The 14,004-nt window shown below is 38.7% G+C and overlaps 1 protein-coding gene across 2 annotated transcripts in view; it reads left to right on the top strand.

Moving 5' to 3' along the window:
• PARM1 (prostate androgen-regulated mucin-like protein 1) overlaps nucleotides 1-14,004 on the top strand; it is a 116,998-nt gene that overhangs the window by 8,757 nt on the left and 94,237 nt on the right. The gene's annotated exons all lie outside the window — the stretch shown is intronic.

Genomic DNA, 14,004 nt, shown 5'->3' on the forward strand with positions numbered 1-14,004 from the left:
GACTCTCCTTTAGAGGTTCATACGAAGAGAACCATAGCCCTGATATTTGTCAGATGATGAAGGGATTTGTGTTATTTTACATGAGAAGCAATATGGTGTGCTAACAGAGGCTTTAGAGTAAGATAGACCAGCAAGGAATACCAACTCTGTGCTCTCAGTTTCCTTCCTTGTAGGGTTATGACAATATACCTAGAGTGCCATGGGACTAAACGTTCAACCAGTCTCTATCAAGTATGTATACCAACAGGCAAAGGATTTATTTTATTTTACTTCATTTGCTTTCTCTGTCTCCCACTACGAGATTGTAAGGTGCGTGAGAAAAGAAATGTTGGTGGTATTTTTTTCCACTGTTGTATCCCCAGCACGTAGAACAGAGCAAGAAACATAGTGTGTGCTTTATAAATTTTCATTCAGTTAATTTTTAATTGAGAATCTACATGTGCTAAACACTGTCCAAGGCTCTGGATATACATTAATGAGCAATGACAAAACTCTACCCTCAGGGAATTTACATTCTTTGAGGATGATAAATTTTGACTTAGTCAAAGGGAAGTCAGTAGTTGAATATCTAATAGTTATCTCGAACTCAACATATCCAAAACTGAGCTCCTAGACTTTCTTCCCCTAGGGGGCTTATCTAAAGCCTTCTCCATATCAATGAATGGAAATGCCACCTTTCTATTTGCTCAGACTGCAAATCATGAGTCATTCTTGAGTCCTGTTTTTCTCTTAACACTCCTCATCCCAACCTTCAAGAAAGTCTGTCTGCTCTAGTTTTAAAATATGTACAGAATCCAACCACGTTTTGCCACCTCAGTTTCTCCCACTCTGGTTCAAGCCACTACTGTCTTTCTCTAAGAGCACTGCTGTGGCCTCCTCTCAGATCTACTTGCTTTCACCCCTCCCCTCTTAGGTCTGTTTTCTACATAGCATAGCAACAGCGAATTCATTGGAACTATATCAGTCACTGCTCTGTTCAGAGCCCTGTAATGGCTCCTCTTTGTTCTTAGAGTAAAAGCCAAAATCTTAGAGTGACCATCAAGACCTCCGTGAGCTGGGGCCTCGTTGGTTCTTGAATCTGATCTTCTACACTCTTCTTTGCTCACTCTGCACCAGCCACAGGACTACCAGAAGCACATAGTAGCTAAGTCCTCTGTCTGGAGTATGCTTTCTCCAGATACCCATATGACTAATTCCCTCACTTCCTTAAAACTTTTGTCAAATGTCACCTTCTCAATGAGACTTACCCTGACCGACCTCTTAAAATTGTAGTCTGTTCCACTTGCCAACACCATATTCCCAGTGCCTCTTATCTGACTCTTGCCTCTACTTTTTCTTTAAAGCATATCTTCCTCCATCCCTCCTTACCCCTCACTAAAACATAGCTCTAGGAGGACAGAGATTTTGTTCCTCTTGTTTGCTGTGGTATCCCACTGTGTTAGAATTCTTTGTGGGCACATGAGGGTACTAAAAATCTATTTGTTAAATTGGATGATTAAAATACATTTCTGAGGGCTGGCAAAATGAATACTTAATTCAGATTTTGCCTTAAATGACCCAAAAGTGAGACATTGGCAAACTTGCTTACTATCAGGTGCTTATGTCTAGTGCTTCCAAAAAGCTGTAAAAAAAAAAAAATGAGTCAGGCCTTTAGTCTTCATTGAGGATTACACAAGCTAAACTTGGAAAATCAGCTATTTTTGAGCTATACACATACAAAATTTTTCTTCTTAAAATGTAAGCTTTATTTGGTGCCATAGACATCATTTAAAAATAGCTAAAACTTTATAAACTCCCTGGACAATTAAGAAAATGTCACCTTTGAGCTCAGCTAGGGAAGATAAAGATACCTTCACCATTCGAGCATTTTTGAGAATTCCAAATAACTAAAAATAACCTGGTGATGAAAAGTGATTTGAGTCTAAGGGAAGCACTATTGAAAGTTACCCAGTTAAGTCTGAGAAATTTAAGTAAATTAAGATGATGAATGGTAAAGTTATAAGTTAGTCACTAATAAGCTCAAGAACAGAATGGGCATTTCCTTGACCTTAGAGACCCTGTGCTACCTTCTTCGGTTGTTCTGAAATATGAATTGTGTTTTATACTAAGCAATGGATAGAAGGGATGCAGAAGTCTTGCCTCAAATAAAACCTGCACCTTAGCTGAGGTGGGGGAAGGAAGCACTTGTCATCTACCCAGCAGGGCTGACACCTCTTGATGTGGCTGGTGTTAAAATCCCCAAGGTTGGCATATCCCCCAGCTACATCATGAAACAAATACTCATGGTGCACACTGGCTTATTCAAAATAATAATGTTTAATTATTTTTAGGCTGGGAAAAATAATATGAGCTTAAAAAATAACATGCTTGCCTTGCAGCCTTAGCAATCGTGGTAAAATGTAAGATTATATCAACTTGAAGAGCAACCTATAAACAAACCAAAGAAGAGGATGACACTTTGTGTTTATTTAAAATATTTGCCTTGCTTGTTCCATGATGTCCATTTGTCCATTCTTGAGAAGGGCAGGCTCTCAGCCATCTTGACGTCAGCAGCCTTGACTGTAAACAGAGGTGTGGCCCCAGAGAGTAGCTCTGACCTGTGCTGGAGGCCCAGCAGAGAGCTGCGTCTGGTCTTGTGCTTGTGGTGCTGGAGGACAGGTGACCATGGCCCCACCTCTTCTCCCATGGGAGTCACCATGTTCTCCGAGTGAAATGAAAAGCAGGGCCTGATCTCTCACCGGAAGGAAAAGAATTGCACATCAGCAAGAGTAGGCAGGCTTTCAATGCCTCCCATCTCAAAGACAAGCGTGGCTGCTCAGCAAGTGAAAACGGTTCCATCACTGAGAATAGAGTTTCAGATTGGAGGGGTAACAGAAAAGAAGAAAGTGTGGTTTTTGAGATTCAGAAATTTACAGCCAAGATTTTGGTTAAAAAAAAATTAATGTCATAAGAAACAGCTGTCTCTTGTTTCAATGACGGTTTTTTAAAGCCACATTACACAGAAATAGATAAGAATGTATCTGTCACCTACCCATACCTGATTCAAAGTCCTGTTTGTTTGCTTGTTTGGCTTAAGGACTGTTTTTAATAAAAATAAGTTAGAAACAATGTAAATGTCTAACAATAATGAGCTGGTCAGATAAACCAACATAAATTCAACATTCATACTGGGCAATATTAGGCAACTGCTTAAAATAATGAAATGGTCCATGATGTACTGACATACAAAAATGAATATATTGACATAATATATTGTAACTTTATATTTCACAGTATGTTGGAAAGGCAAGCTACAAAATTAAATGTATGTTGTGTGCGCCTGTGGAGAAAGGGTTTAGAAGGATACAATGGTATCTGATGAGTGAACGTTGGGTCACTTTTACTTTCTCTCCCTCTCTCTTTCATTGCCTGAACTTTTAATAAACAGCTTGTATTCCCTTTACAATTTTAAAAGTTGAGATATTATGAATATTGTTAATCACTTTTTAGCAACAGATAATGTGGCTATAGTGACTGCTAGATGGCTATTTTGATCTTAAAAATCTTGATTCGAAATTCATTCTGCTACAGCCCTCGAAAATAAGATTTTAGAGAAGCAAATAACCTCAACAATGTTTACCGGGCATCACTGATGTAATGGTTAGAGAAGGTTCTGGGAAGGAATTGACTTAAACAAATATTCCATTTTCTAAAACCAGATGCTGCATAAATCATTGATCAGGATAACCACCTTGCATAGTATTTTAAGGCACTCTGTCCTAACTGATCAGTATTTAATATACTTTGTTAGTTTTTTAGATCTCCTCTCTTTGTCACATATGGGAGCAATTTCTTAAAACATTATTCTAAGCTCTTCTAAAATGAAAGTGGCCAACACAGATATCAAAAAAGAAAAACAGCCCTCAGAAGAATATACAATTTATTTTTCTTTTGGCAACATTAAATTTCTTATATAATCTTTTCAACAAAATAATCAATAAAATGTGGTGTAGGTAAATGCTGGAGGATATGTTATTAATACTCTATGACATTATCAGAAAGCAGCACAGGTGTGACTGGGGAGAGGGCTGGAGCAGAACTGACTGAAAGTTTTAGGGGTGATCTAGGCCAACCTCTCACATTATAGATAAAACTAGATACTTGGGAGTGTCGCATTTTTAAATTTTTAGTTTTACTAGGTATCACACATTGTGCTACATTCATTTCATCTGCCACTTCATCTAATCCTCTCACACTCTAGAAAGTACGCAGTACTATTCCCATTTTGCCGTTCAGGTCACTGAGGTTCAGAAGTCAAGTAATGAGCCACAAATCACACAGTAGATAAGTAACAGAACTGGACTAGACGTTGAACCCAGGTTTCTAATTTTTTACCCACCTCTGCCCCCATTCCCTTGAACTACCAAATCAGTTGCTAAATTCTCTTGCATAAATGTAGTCTCTAGAATTTTTCCCAACTTTGATTCTCTTCCCCATCCCCACAGCCTTGGTTGAGAGCCTTATCATCTCTTATCAGTAACTCCTAAATGGTCACCCGTTTTCTTCCCACAGTCTCTTGCCAGTCTTGGGACTTATTTAGGCCATGCCAAATTGCCTGCTCTCTTCCAAAGGAAGAGGATAATCTTATAGGTGCTGAGACTATGGTTTGTAAATTTTACTTCTGCTAAAAAGAATGAAGGCTCCTGGGAGTAGTGGCTAATTCCGGGTCTGGGTTAGGAAATACATAAGATGAATCTGGAATATCTTGTTAGACCAGGTAGTAAACATATTCTCAAAGAATACTAGGATCCCATCAAAAGGACTCAAAACCACTTAATGAGGCACCAACTGGCCAAAGCTGGGACAATTTGAGCATTGATGATGATTATAATTGTAATAGTTTGAAACACATTAAATACGTTTAAACTCGTAAATTCACAATAATGCCAAAAACAAAACAATAATAATACAAAATTCGTTGACCTTCATTGGAGAATGCTAATAAGCAACACATTATTTTGAAAACATAATAGATGAGTAGAAGAAAAATCAAGTTTTTTAATTGATTTATTTATCTAAGCCTGCGTTTATTTTGTGAAGTGTACCATTGAGTGACCAAATATTAGATGATGGGATAATTTTCTCTAGGGTTATTCCAGCTAATAAATGAAGAAGGCATGGAAAAAATAGAATATCACCATATTGCATTACCTACTGAGTTAGTGGGCTTGGATGCTAATCATCAGTGGCTGCCAACACCGTGGAGTGTGATGCACTCAGGTACTACATCTCCTAATGGAAGAATGCACCATATCCTATGAAGCAGTCTTGCCAAATTGAAAGAAACCTACATCTGATCAAGTTTCTAATTCCAACAATCAAGTCACAGGAAATACAGAGGACTGGGGAAGATGTTAAATAACACTGTGGGGATGATATCAGCAAACTCCAGACTATGGAAAACTCTATGGGAAAAATAACCAGGTTTCTTCAATAAATGAATTACAAGGAAAAAAAAAGAGATTGAGAGAAAGATTGACAGAGGTAGGAGGAATTTATAAACTAGAAAGAGACTTAAGAGACATAGCAGCCAATCACAATTATGAACTTTATTTGGATCCTGAATCAAACCAAAACTGCAATAATAAATGATGACATTTGTAAGACGATGGTGAATTTTAACACTGACTAGATATATGATGACATTAAGGTATTGTTAATATTTTCAATATGATAATAATATAACCCTTATGTTTTCAACAACCCTTATATTTTAGAGATACATACTATTTTATTTATAGAAGAAATGCTATGATGCTTAGTATTTACTTCAAAATAATATGGGAGTGGGAATATTATAGGAAAAATGACTGTGAGTTAATAATTGCTGAAACTGGCTGAAAGGAACATGGGGATGCATTATACTCTTCTCTCCTCCTTTGCAGATGATTATGTTTTTCCATTATAAGAAGTTTTAAAATGAGTCCTCTAGACCTCCTAGTTGCTTGCAAAACAAGTCCGCAGTGTTTAGCAAGTGGCTTGGGATCTGAACTAGAGTTAGAACAAAAAAAGGAGGTGCCTCTTATCATGGTGTGAAAGGCCAGAGAAGCAGAGAGGTCACTCTTGTTTGGAAAGTCTTCCCCAGGAAGACTGCTGGACGCTTTCAGGCCTCTCTGCCTTTGCTCATGCCATTTCCTCATTCTAGAATGCCACACTCCTCCATTCTCTGCCAACCAAAAGTCTCTTCATTTTGCAGGCTCAGATTTTTCCCTGTGTTCTTCACATGTCAGCCCTACTAGTCTTTCAGCTTTTAGAGAACAGAGGTCATGTCTTAGCTTCATATCCCTTCCTCCCAGGTATGAGCACATACATGGCAAGTGCTCCATGCTTGTCAAATTGAACTGCAGAAACTGAGGCTCAAAATGTGGACTCCAAGGTCTCACAGCTAGTTAGTGAAAGAACTTAACTAAAAATCTCATGTAAACGTTAGTCCCCTGACTTCAGGAACTCCAAAGCCTCTTCAAGCTTGTTCACCAGCATTCCTTTCCTTGAGAGTTAAGATTTAAAGGCTTTATGATCTCTGAGAGAAGTAACACATTAACTTAGAGTAGCTGAAAGTTATTATCCATTACCATGTACTGGCATGTAGAAAAGCACAGGCACCAGGTGAGTGGCCTATAAGACAAATACATCTTATAGGGAAGAGGGAAGTGGGCTGGAAGCTGCAACACCACTTGGATCAGGAATCGCACAGTGAGAGTCATGGTGAATGCACTGGACACCAAAAAGACACAGAGGAAACACAGGAGAGATGACAGGGTCCAGGAGATCCAGTTGGCCGGTTTCCTGTGATTACACATCAGCAAATGAAATTTGAAAAGGCATTATAGGCCAGGTGCCTTGGCTCATGCCTGTAATCCCAGCATTTTGGGAGGCCGAGGCGGGTGGATCACGAGGTCAGAAGTTCGAGACCAGCCTGGCCAACATAGTGAAACCCTGTTTCTACTAAAAATACAAAAAATTAGCCAGGCATGGTGGCAGGTGCCTGTAATCCCAGCTACTTGGGAGGCTGAGGCAGAAGAATCGCTTGAACCCAGGAGGCGGAGGTTGCAGTGACCCAAGATCATGCCACTGCACTCCAGCCTCGGCGACAGAGCGAGACTCTGTCTCAAAAAAAAACAAAAAACAAAAACAAACAAAAGGGCATTGTAATCACTTTACAGACAAGCTTGTTATATTTGGGCAATCATCATTACCTGAACATCCTTATGAAATAAAATTTCACTCCAGACAAGTGAATGCAATAGGGATTGTCTTTTAAAAGATCCACAGTTAGTTATCCAGTACTAGCCACAGGGGAGCTTTCCATAGGAAGGAGAAAACCCACGTTTCCTCTGAGAAAAAATGCATCTATTTGTTTGGTTTTGTACTTAGTAAGAAATGGGCATGAGTTATATCTCTGTATAGGTCAGTTTTCTTTTTTTTGAGATGGAGTCTTGCTCTGTCACCCAGACTGGAGTGCAGTGGCACGATCTCGGCTCACTGCAAGCTCCGCCTCCCAGTTTCACGCCATCCTCCTGCCTCCCAAGTAGCTGGTACTACAGGTGCCCGCCACCACGCCTGGCTAATTTTTTGTATTTTTAGTAGAGATGGGGTTTCACCATGTTAGCCAGGATGGTCTCGATCTCCTGACCTTGTGATCCACCTGTCTCAGCCTCCCAAAGTGCTGGGATTACAGGCGTGAGCCACTGCGCCCAGCCTATAGGTCAGTTTTCTTATTTTAATATTGCAGTTCACTGTTTAACCTTTGAAATGTGTTGTTAGAACATCACCTAGGCAAGGCCAATAAACATGAGTTGTCATGTTTGAAATGTGTTATAGAAGAGAGCCTAGACAAGACAGTAAACATGAGATGGCAAACATGTCCTGTGGAAATGAAGGTGGCATCAAATAGAGGCACTTCCCTATGGCTGGCCTCTTACTCTTTTTTTTTTTTTTTTCAACATAATCTGCTTCTGCAACAGAAAAAGAGTGACAAAGAAAGGAGTTTTGTTTTGCTCTTTTGGTTTTTATGTCACCAAAAAGATACTTTTTTTCCTTTCATCTTGGAACTCTGGAAATCTTCCCTGGTGATATCAACCAAAACTAGAGGAATTTAGAAGGAAGTGTGCCCTCCTGGGTAGAAAGGGAAATATGTCTTCTCAGTTGCCCAGAAGCAAAGGTTATCAGTAAATAAGTGTCCTATCCCCAAACTGCTGTGAGCTATCTACCCCCTTGAACTATGCCAACTTGCCAAGCTTTGGATAAATATAGATTAGCTATTGTCTGGGTTTCCTGAGGCTGCCATAACAAATTACCATAAACTCGGAAAGCTTAAAACAACAGAAACATATTCTCCGACACTTCTGGAAACTGGAAGCCTGAAATCAAGGTTTCAGCAAAGCCATGCCTCCTCTGAAGCTCCAGGGGAGGATTCCTCCTTGCTTCTTCTAGCTTCCAGTGGCCCCAGGCATTCCTTGGCTTGGGGCTGCATCACTTCAATCTCCACCTCTGTCTCACATGGCCCCCTTTCCTCTGAGTCACTCTGTGTCCAAACTTCCCTCTTACAAGGACACCAGTCATCCAGTCATATTGGATTAGGGCCCATTTTCATCTTAACCTGATTATATCTGCAAAGAGCTTATTTCCAAACAAGGTGACATTCACACGTACTAGAGGTTGTGGTTCAGCTTATCTTTTTGGGGAACATGGTTCAACTTATAGCAGTTATATTAATTTCACATCTCAATCATGTTCATGAAAGACTCCTCCCCACAGATAAAATAAGTTATGAACTTAATTGATTATAAATTACTTTTATTCAAGATAGCATTCACTATCACATCAAGTTTTTTTTATTTGTTTCCTTATTTATCTACGTATTTATTGCTCTTGATGAGACTGTTTAAATCAGGTGTTTCTCAATCTGTATTTTAGGCATTTGGAGGGGGATTTTTTTTTTTTTTACATGGAGATGGCATTTCTGGTTCCTGACCACTAAATACCGATAGCACCCTGCAGGCACTGTGACAAGCAGGAACAAAGAAAATCAGGAAAAAGAAAAGGAACGGAGGAAAGGATGGAGGGAGGAAATGCCATCACACATTTCCAAACCATCTGACTCTTTGAAACCAACAGTCTAAATTGATGGGACTTTAATGTTGCTCCTTGGAGACCAACAGAGAATGGGCTGTGTGGAGCAATAGCAGCCGTTCTGGTAACTCAGCCAGCCTGCGGCTGTCAGAGGTCTCTGGGTAATTCCAGAGCATTCTGACTTGGACAAGGATAGTAGCAGGTATACTATGTTAGAGACAAATTTCAAAGGCACCATTTCACTTCTCCTCTGCCAGGTTCAATACTCTGTTGTTTACAACACCGTATCATTTACATCACCACGCCTGCAGTAAAGTCAGGAAGAGTATAGAGAGATAGCAAAAAGTTGCAGGAGATGAAAATAGCCTCCTGCACTTTTTTTAGCATTGCTCATTGCAATGTAGAAATGATACTTTTCCTTTGTTTGCATGCAAGGGAGGACATGACCCACTTTCTATTTTTCTTTTTATTATACTTTTAAGTTCTGGGGTACGTATGCAGAACATGCAGGTTTGTTACATAGGTATACATGTGCCATGGTGGTTTGCTGCACCCATCAACCCGTCATCTTCATTAGGTATTTCTCCTAATGCTGTCCCTCCCCTAGCCCCCAACCCCGCGACAGGCCCCAAATGATGTTCCCCTCTCTGTGTCCATGTGTTCTTATTGTTCAACTCCCACTTACGAGTGAGAATACGCGGTGTTTGGTTTTCTGTTCCTGTGTTAGTTTGCTGAGGATGATGACTTCCAGCTTCCTCCAGGTGCCTGCAAAAGGACATGAACTCATCCTGTTTTAAGGCTGCATAGTATTCCATGGTGTGTATGTGCTACATTTTCTTTATCCAGTCTATCATGGATGAGTATTTGGCTTGGTTCCAAGTCTTCGCTATTCTGAATAGTGCTGCAATAAACATACATGTGCATGTGTCATTATAGTAGAATGATTTATAATCCTTTTGATATATACCCAGTAATGGGATTGCTGGGTCAAATGGTATTTCTGGATCTAGATCCTTAAGGAATTGCCATACTGTCTTCCACAATAGTTGAACTAATTTATACTCCCACCAACAGTGTAAAAGCGTTCCTATTTTTCCACATCCTCTCCAGCATCTGTTGTTTACTGATTTTTTAATGATTGCCATTCTAACTGGCATGAGATGGTATCTCACTGTGGTTTTGATTTGCATTTCTCTAATGACCAGTAATGATGAGCTTTTTTTCATATATTTGTTGGCCTCATAAATGTCTTCTTTTGAGCAGTGTCTGTTCATATACTTTGCCCGCTTTTTAATGGGGTTGTTTATTTTTTTCTTGTAAATTTGATTAAGTTCCTTGTAGATTCTGGATATTAGCCCTTTGTCAGATGGATAGATTACAAACATTTTCTCCCATTCTGTAGGTTGCCTGTTCACTCTGATGATAGTTTCTTTTGCTGTGCAGAAGCTCTTTAGTTTATTTATATCCCATTGGTCAATTTTGGCTTTTGTTGCCATTGCTTTTGGTGTTTTAGCCATGAAGTCTTTGCCCATGCCTATGTCCTGAATGGTATTGCCTAGGTTTTTATAGTTTTAGGTCTTACGTTTAAGTCTTTAATCCATCTTGAGCTAATTTTTGTATAAGGTGTAAGGAAGGGGTCCAGTTTCAGTTTTCTGCATATGGCTAGCCAGTTTTCCTAACAACATTAAAAGTATCTTCTTCTCAGTTCTGTGTAAGTATTACTGGATATGAGAACATAAGAAGTCAGATGAATCTTTCACTGAAAAACATAGAAAATGTGACCTTGTAGGACAGTGGTTTTCTGTTAGCCAATGTGAAAAGTGTGTGTTTATGTGTGTGCATATGTAAAATGTGAATATACATATATTTGTGAGTGATATATATGTTTTCCTCTTTCTTTACCTGCTTCCTTCCTTACTAAAGTAATTAGAAGTCTTTAAAAGAAGGAGACCAAATAACATTGAAATAATTTCTTAAGAGAAAATTAACATTCAATAGATTAATACATTTTCTGGAGCATCTAAAATTCACTTTCCCTCCCCACAAAAGGTAAGATAGTCTATATATTGAAGAGCCATAATCATATACATCCATTTCTTCTGATTAGTAACTACAATATTTATTAAGTAAGCATGGACGTTTATTTGGCTCTGTAGCTACCTATTTCATGTTCTTTTGGAATCACAGCTTTCTTTATATGTCATAATGAAAATCAATATTTGAAACTTCTTCCTCTGGAAAAACATATAATTTCCTTTATAGGAGATTTAACTACTTAAATAGTTCTGCTTATGCAGGTAAGAGAAATATTCTAAGAAAAAATGAGAGATCTGCTGTATAAAGCCTTTATTGATATGAGTTATTATTTAAGGAATAAAAAAAATTAAAGCTCTGATGCTGCAAACAAAGCTCCTTGATGAGAACTGAGTTCATGCTGAGATAAAAAGTTACAAAGCAAGAGAACAGCCTCATTATATTTTTTAAAATTCCAGAGAAAGTCATTGTTCTGCCAAAGCAATGTGGCAAGACAGCCTGGGACCCAACATCGGTGCCCAGGAGGCTAGGAGTAAAGAGCTTTAGAAGCTTTGAATCTTTTTCTAAAACAATTAAGATTAAAGAACTTAATCAGGAAATCTGAGGTTATATAAGGGGTGAGCAGGTCAACCAGCTCATATATCTGGTTTGGGGCACATGCTTTGGATGACCAGACTTTTCCATGGAAGATTGTACTTTATGATAATTCTTCCAGAATGAAAGAACTGACAAGAAACATTAAAGTTTGAAAAGCGATCCCCACCACCACCGACATCTGAGAACATCCTGGCCTCTCCAGAGACATCTGACTGAGGGAAGCAGGTGAGCCAGCTTGGGCTGCAACCCCAGGAAGAGAAAGGGAAGTGGGTCACGCCTGGTGAAGTGGCCTATCTCTCTCTTGGCAAGTCAAGCTGACTGATTTGGAGGCTACAGACTCTACCTTGGCTGGCCTGGCCACCTCACAACCTCCTCTCCAAAGGTGACATGTACTACAGCTTAAGACATTACACGGCACCTGAAGCAAAAACTAAAAGTAGATATGGAATAAATCTTCTGAAGCTCTAAGGCTCAATATCCACAGTAAATTATTATTAAGTTACTGAGAAGAGAACATTCACTATTTCAGCAAGAGCTACCCAGGAAGAACCAAAAGCCTTCTGAGATGGTATATGAAGGGACAGGAATTTAGGGAATAGACCCAATTTTTCTTTTACTTAATCAGCGTTGAGTTTTTGGGTTTCTAGGAGGGCATAGAAAACTTGAACTGGAGAAGCAAGGTTCATTGGCATGTGCCAGTTGATACTTCACTAAGTCTTTACTAGTAAAAATGATGACATTTATCTTCTTTCTTAAGCCATGTCTATTCTGTTCCAACTTTACCAAGAATGACAGCTAGGATTTGAAAGTGTGCCTATGTTCTTTGCTGAGGACTTACTGCAAAGTTTCTAACAACGTAAACTTGACCTGTGTTTGACTCATAATGCCCAACAAAAAAACACTGCTGTTTTGAAATTATGGACATAGCAAAGTATAGATTGAATCTTGCTGTACACTCAGTGATTCTACCTGCTCATTTTCTTTTCACTTATGATGCTGATGGCCCATTCTAGCATCGTGCGCATCATGTTCAGAAAACACCAATCAATCCTGCACCTGTGGGAGAGCAATTTCTGCTGGTTTCAATGATAGTGGAAAAGTAACAGGTCTCAAATCCCATCAGCAATGAGAATGTTGGTCCTCTTCACCAAGGCTCCTAAATGTAGAAATTATATTGTTTATGCATTTTCTTGATCTTATTTTTATAAAAATGCATTTTTCTTAGCATCAGACTTCAGCAACACTTGATTTTTCTTTTTGATGAGGAATTTGACAGAACCTAGGCAATTAGCTGGGAGCTGTGTAAATTCAGGAAACCTGATTAACAGATCATAATTCACCTAAGAATTTAGGCTTAAGCCATGGTGGATAAAGTTTCCTTCTAAAAGTGTTTGGCAATTTGGCTTTAAAAGGAGCACTAGATTAATTCAGTCTATGCTTTCTTGCCATATGACATCATTTCAAAATATAAATTCCATTTATATTATTGAAAATGTATAAGATATGCATAAGTTTATTTTGATTTAACAGGGAGGATAAATGAAATGTTCTGCTAATAAACATATTCCAAATAACTAAGCTTACTCTATATAATGTAGACTGCAGATTTTGAAAAATGAAAAAAAAAAAACTCATTAAAGCTATATTTAGCAGTTGTGGTAAGGTCACTGATAAGCTTCATACCTCCAGTTGTCATCTGTTAAATAAGAGGATGAAATGAGATGATCATTAGTGTCTGCTCTTCTTTATGATCTGAAATGGATTCTTAACCTGAGGCCTATCTAAACATAAATGAACCACAAATGAGCATCAGGAAGCCCACAAAACACCTGAAATTGTATCAAACATTATGTATATGTACTTATTTGCATTTTTTTCTTGGATGATCCAAAGATTTTGTCCAAGACCTGAACTTTGTGCCCCTAGTAAGGTTAAGAATATCTAACATTCATTCTGTGATTAATTTAACTGTTAAGTGATGTAGCCTTTCTTTCAAAATTCATAAGCCTCCTCAGGATATCTAGTACTGGCTTTAGTTTTTTGTGGCCGTAGCTTCCAACACGTCGATCACTCTTGCATGAATTCATCTCACCCTCAGATCACCCTTGAAGGCAGACATTGTCCTCTCAAGTTACAGATGAAGAAATGGAGGAGCAGAATGCTCAGGTATGTCAGTAAACATAGAAGTCAGTTATAGATGTTTTGGCTTCCTGGTCTGGTGCTTTTTCCATTACAGTCCATTATGTAGAGTATCATAAAACT

This window comes from Homo sapiens, chromosome 4 (genome assembly GCF_000001405.40).
Source record: "Homo sapiens chromosome 4, GRCh38.p14 Primary Assembly".
Classification (NCBI taxonomy): domain Eukaryota; kingdom Metazoa; phylum Chordata; class Mammalia; order Primates; family Hominidae; genus Homo; species Homo sapiens.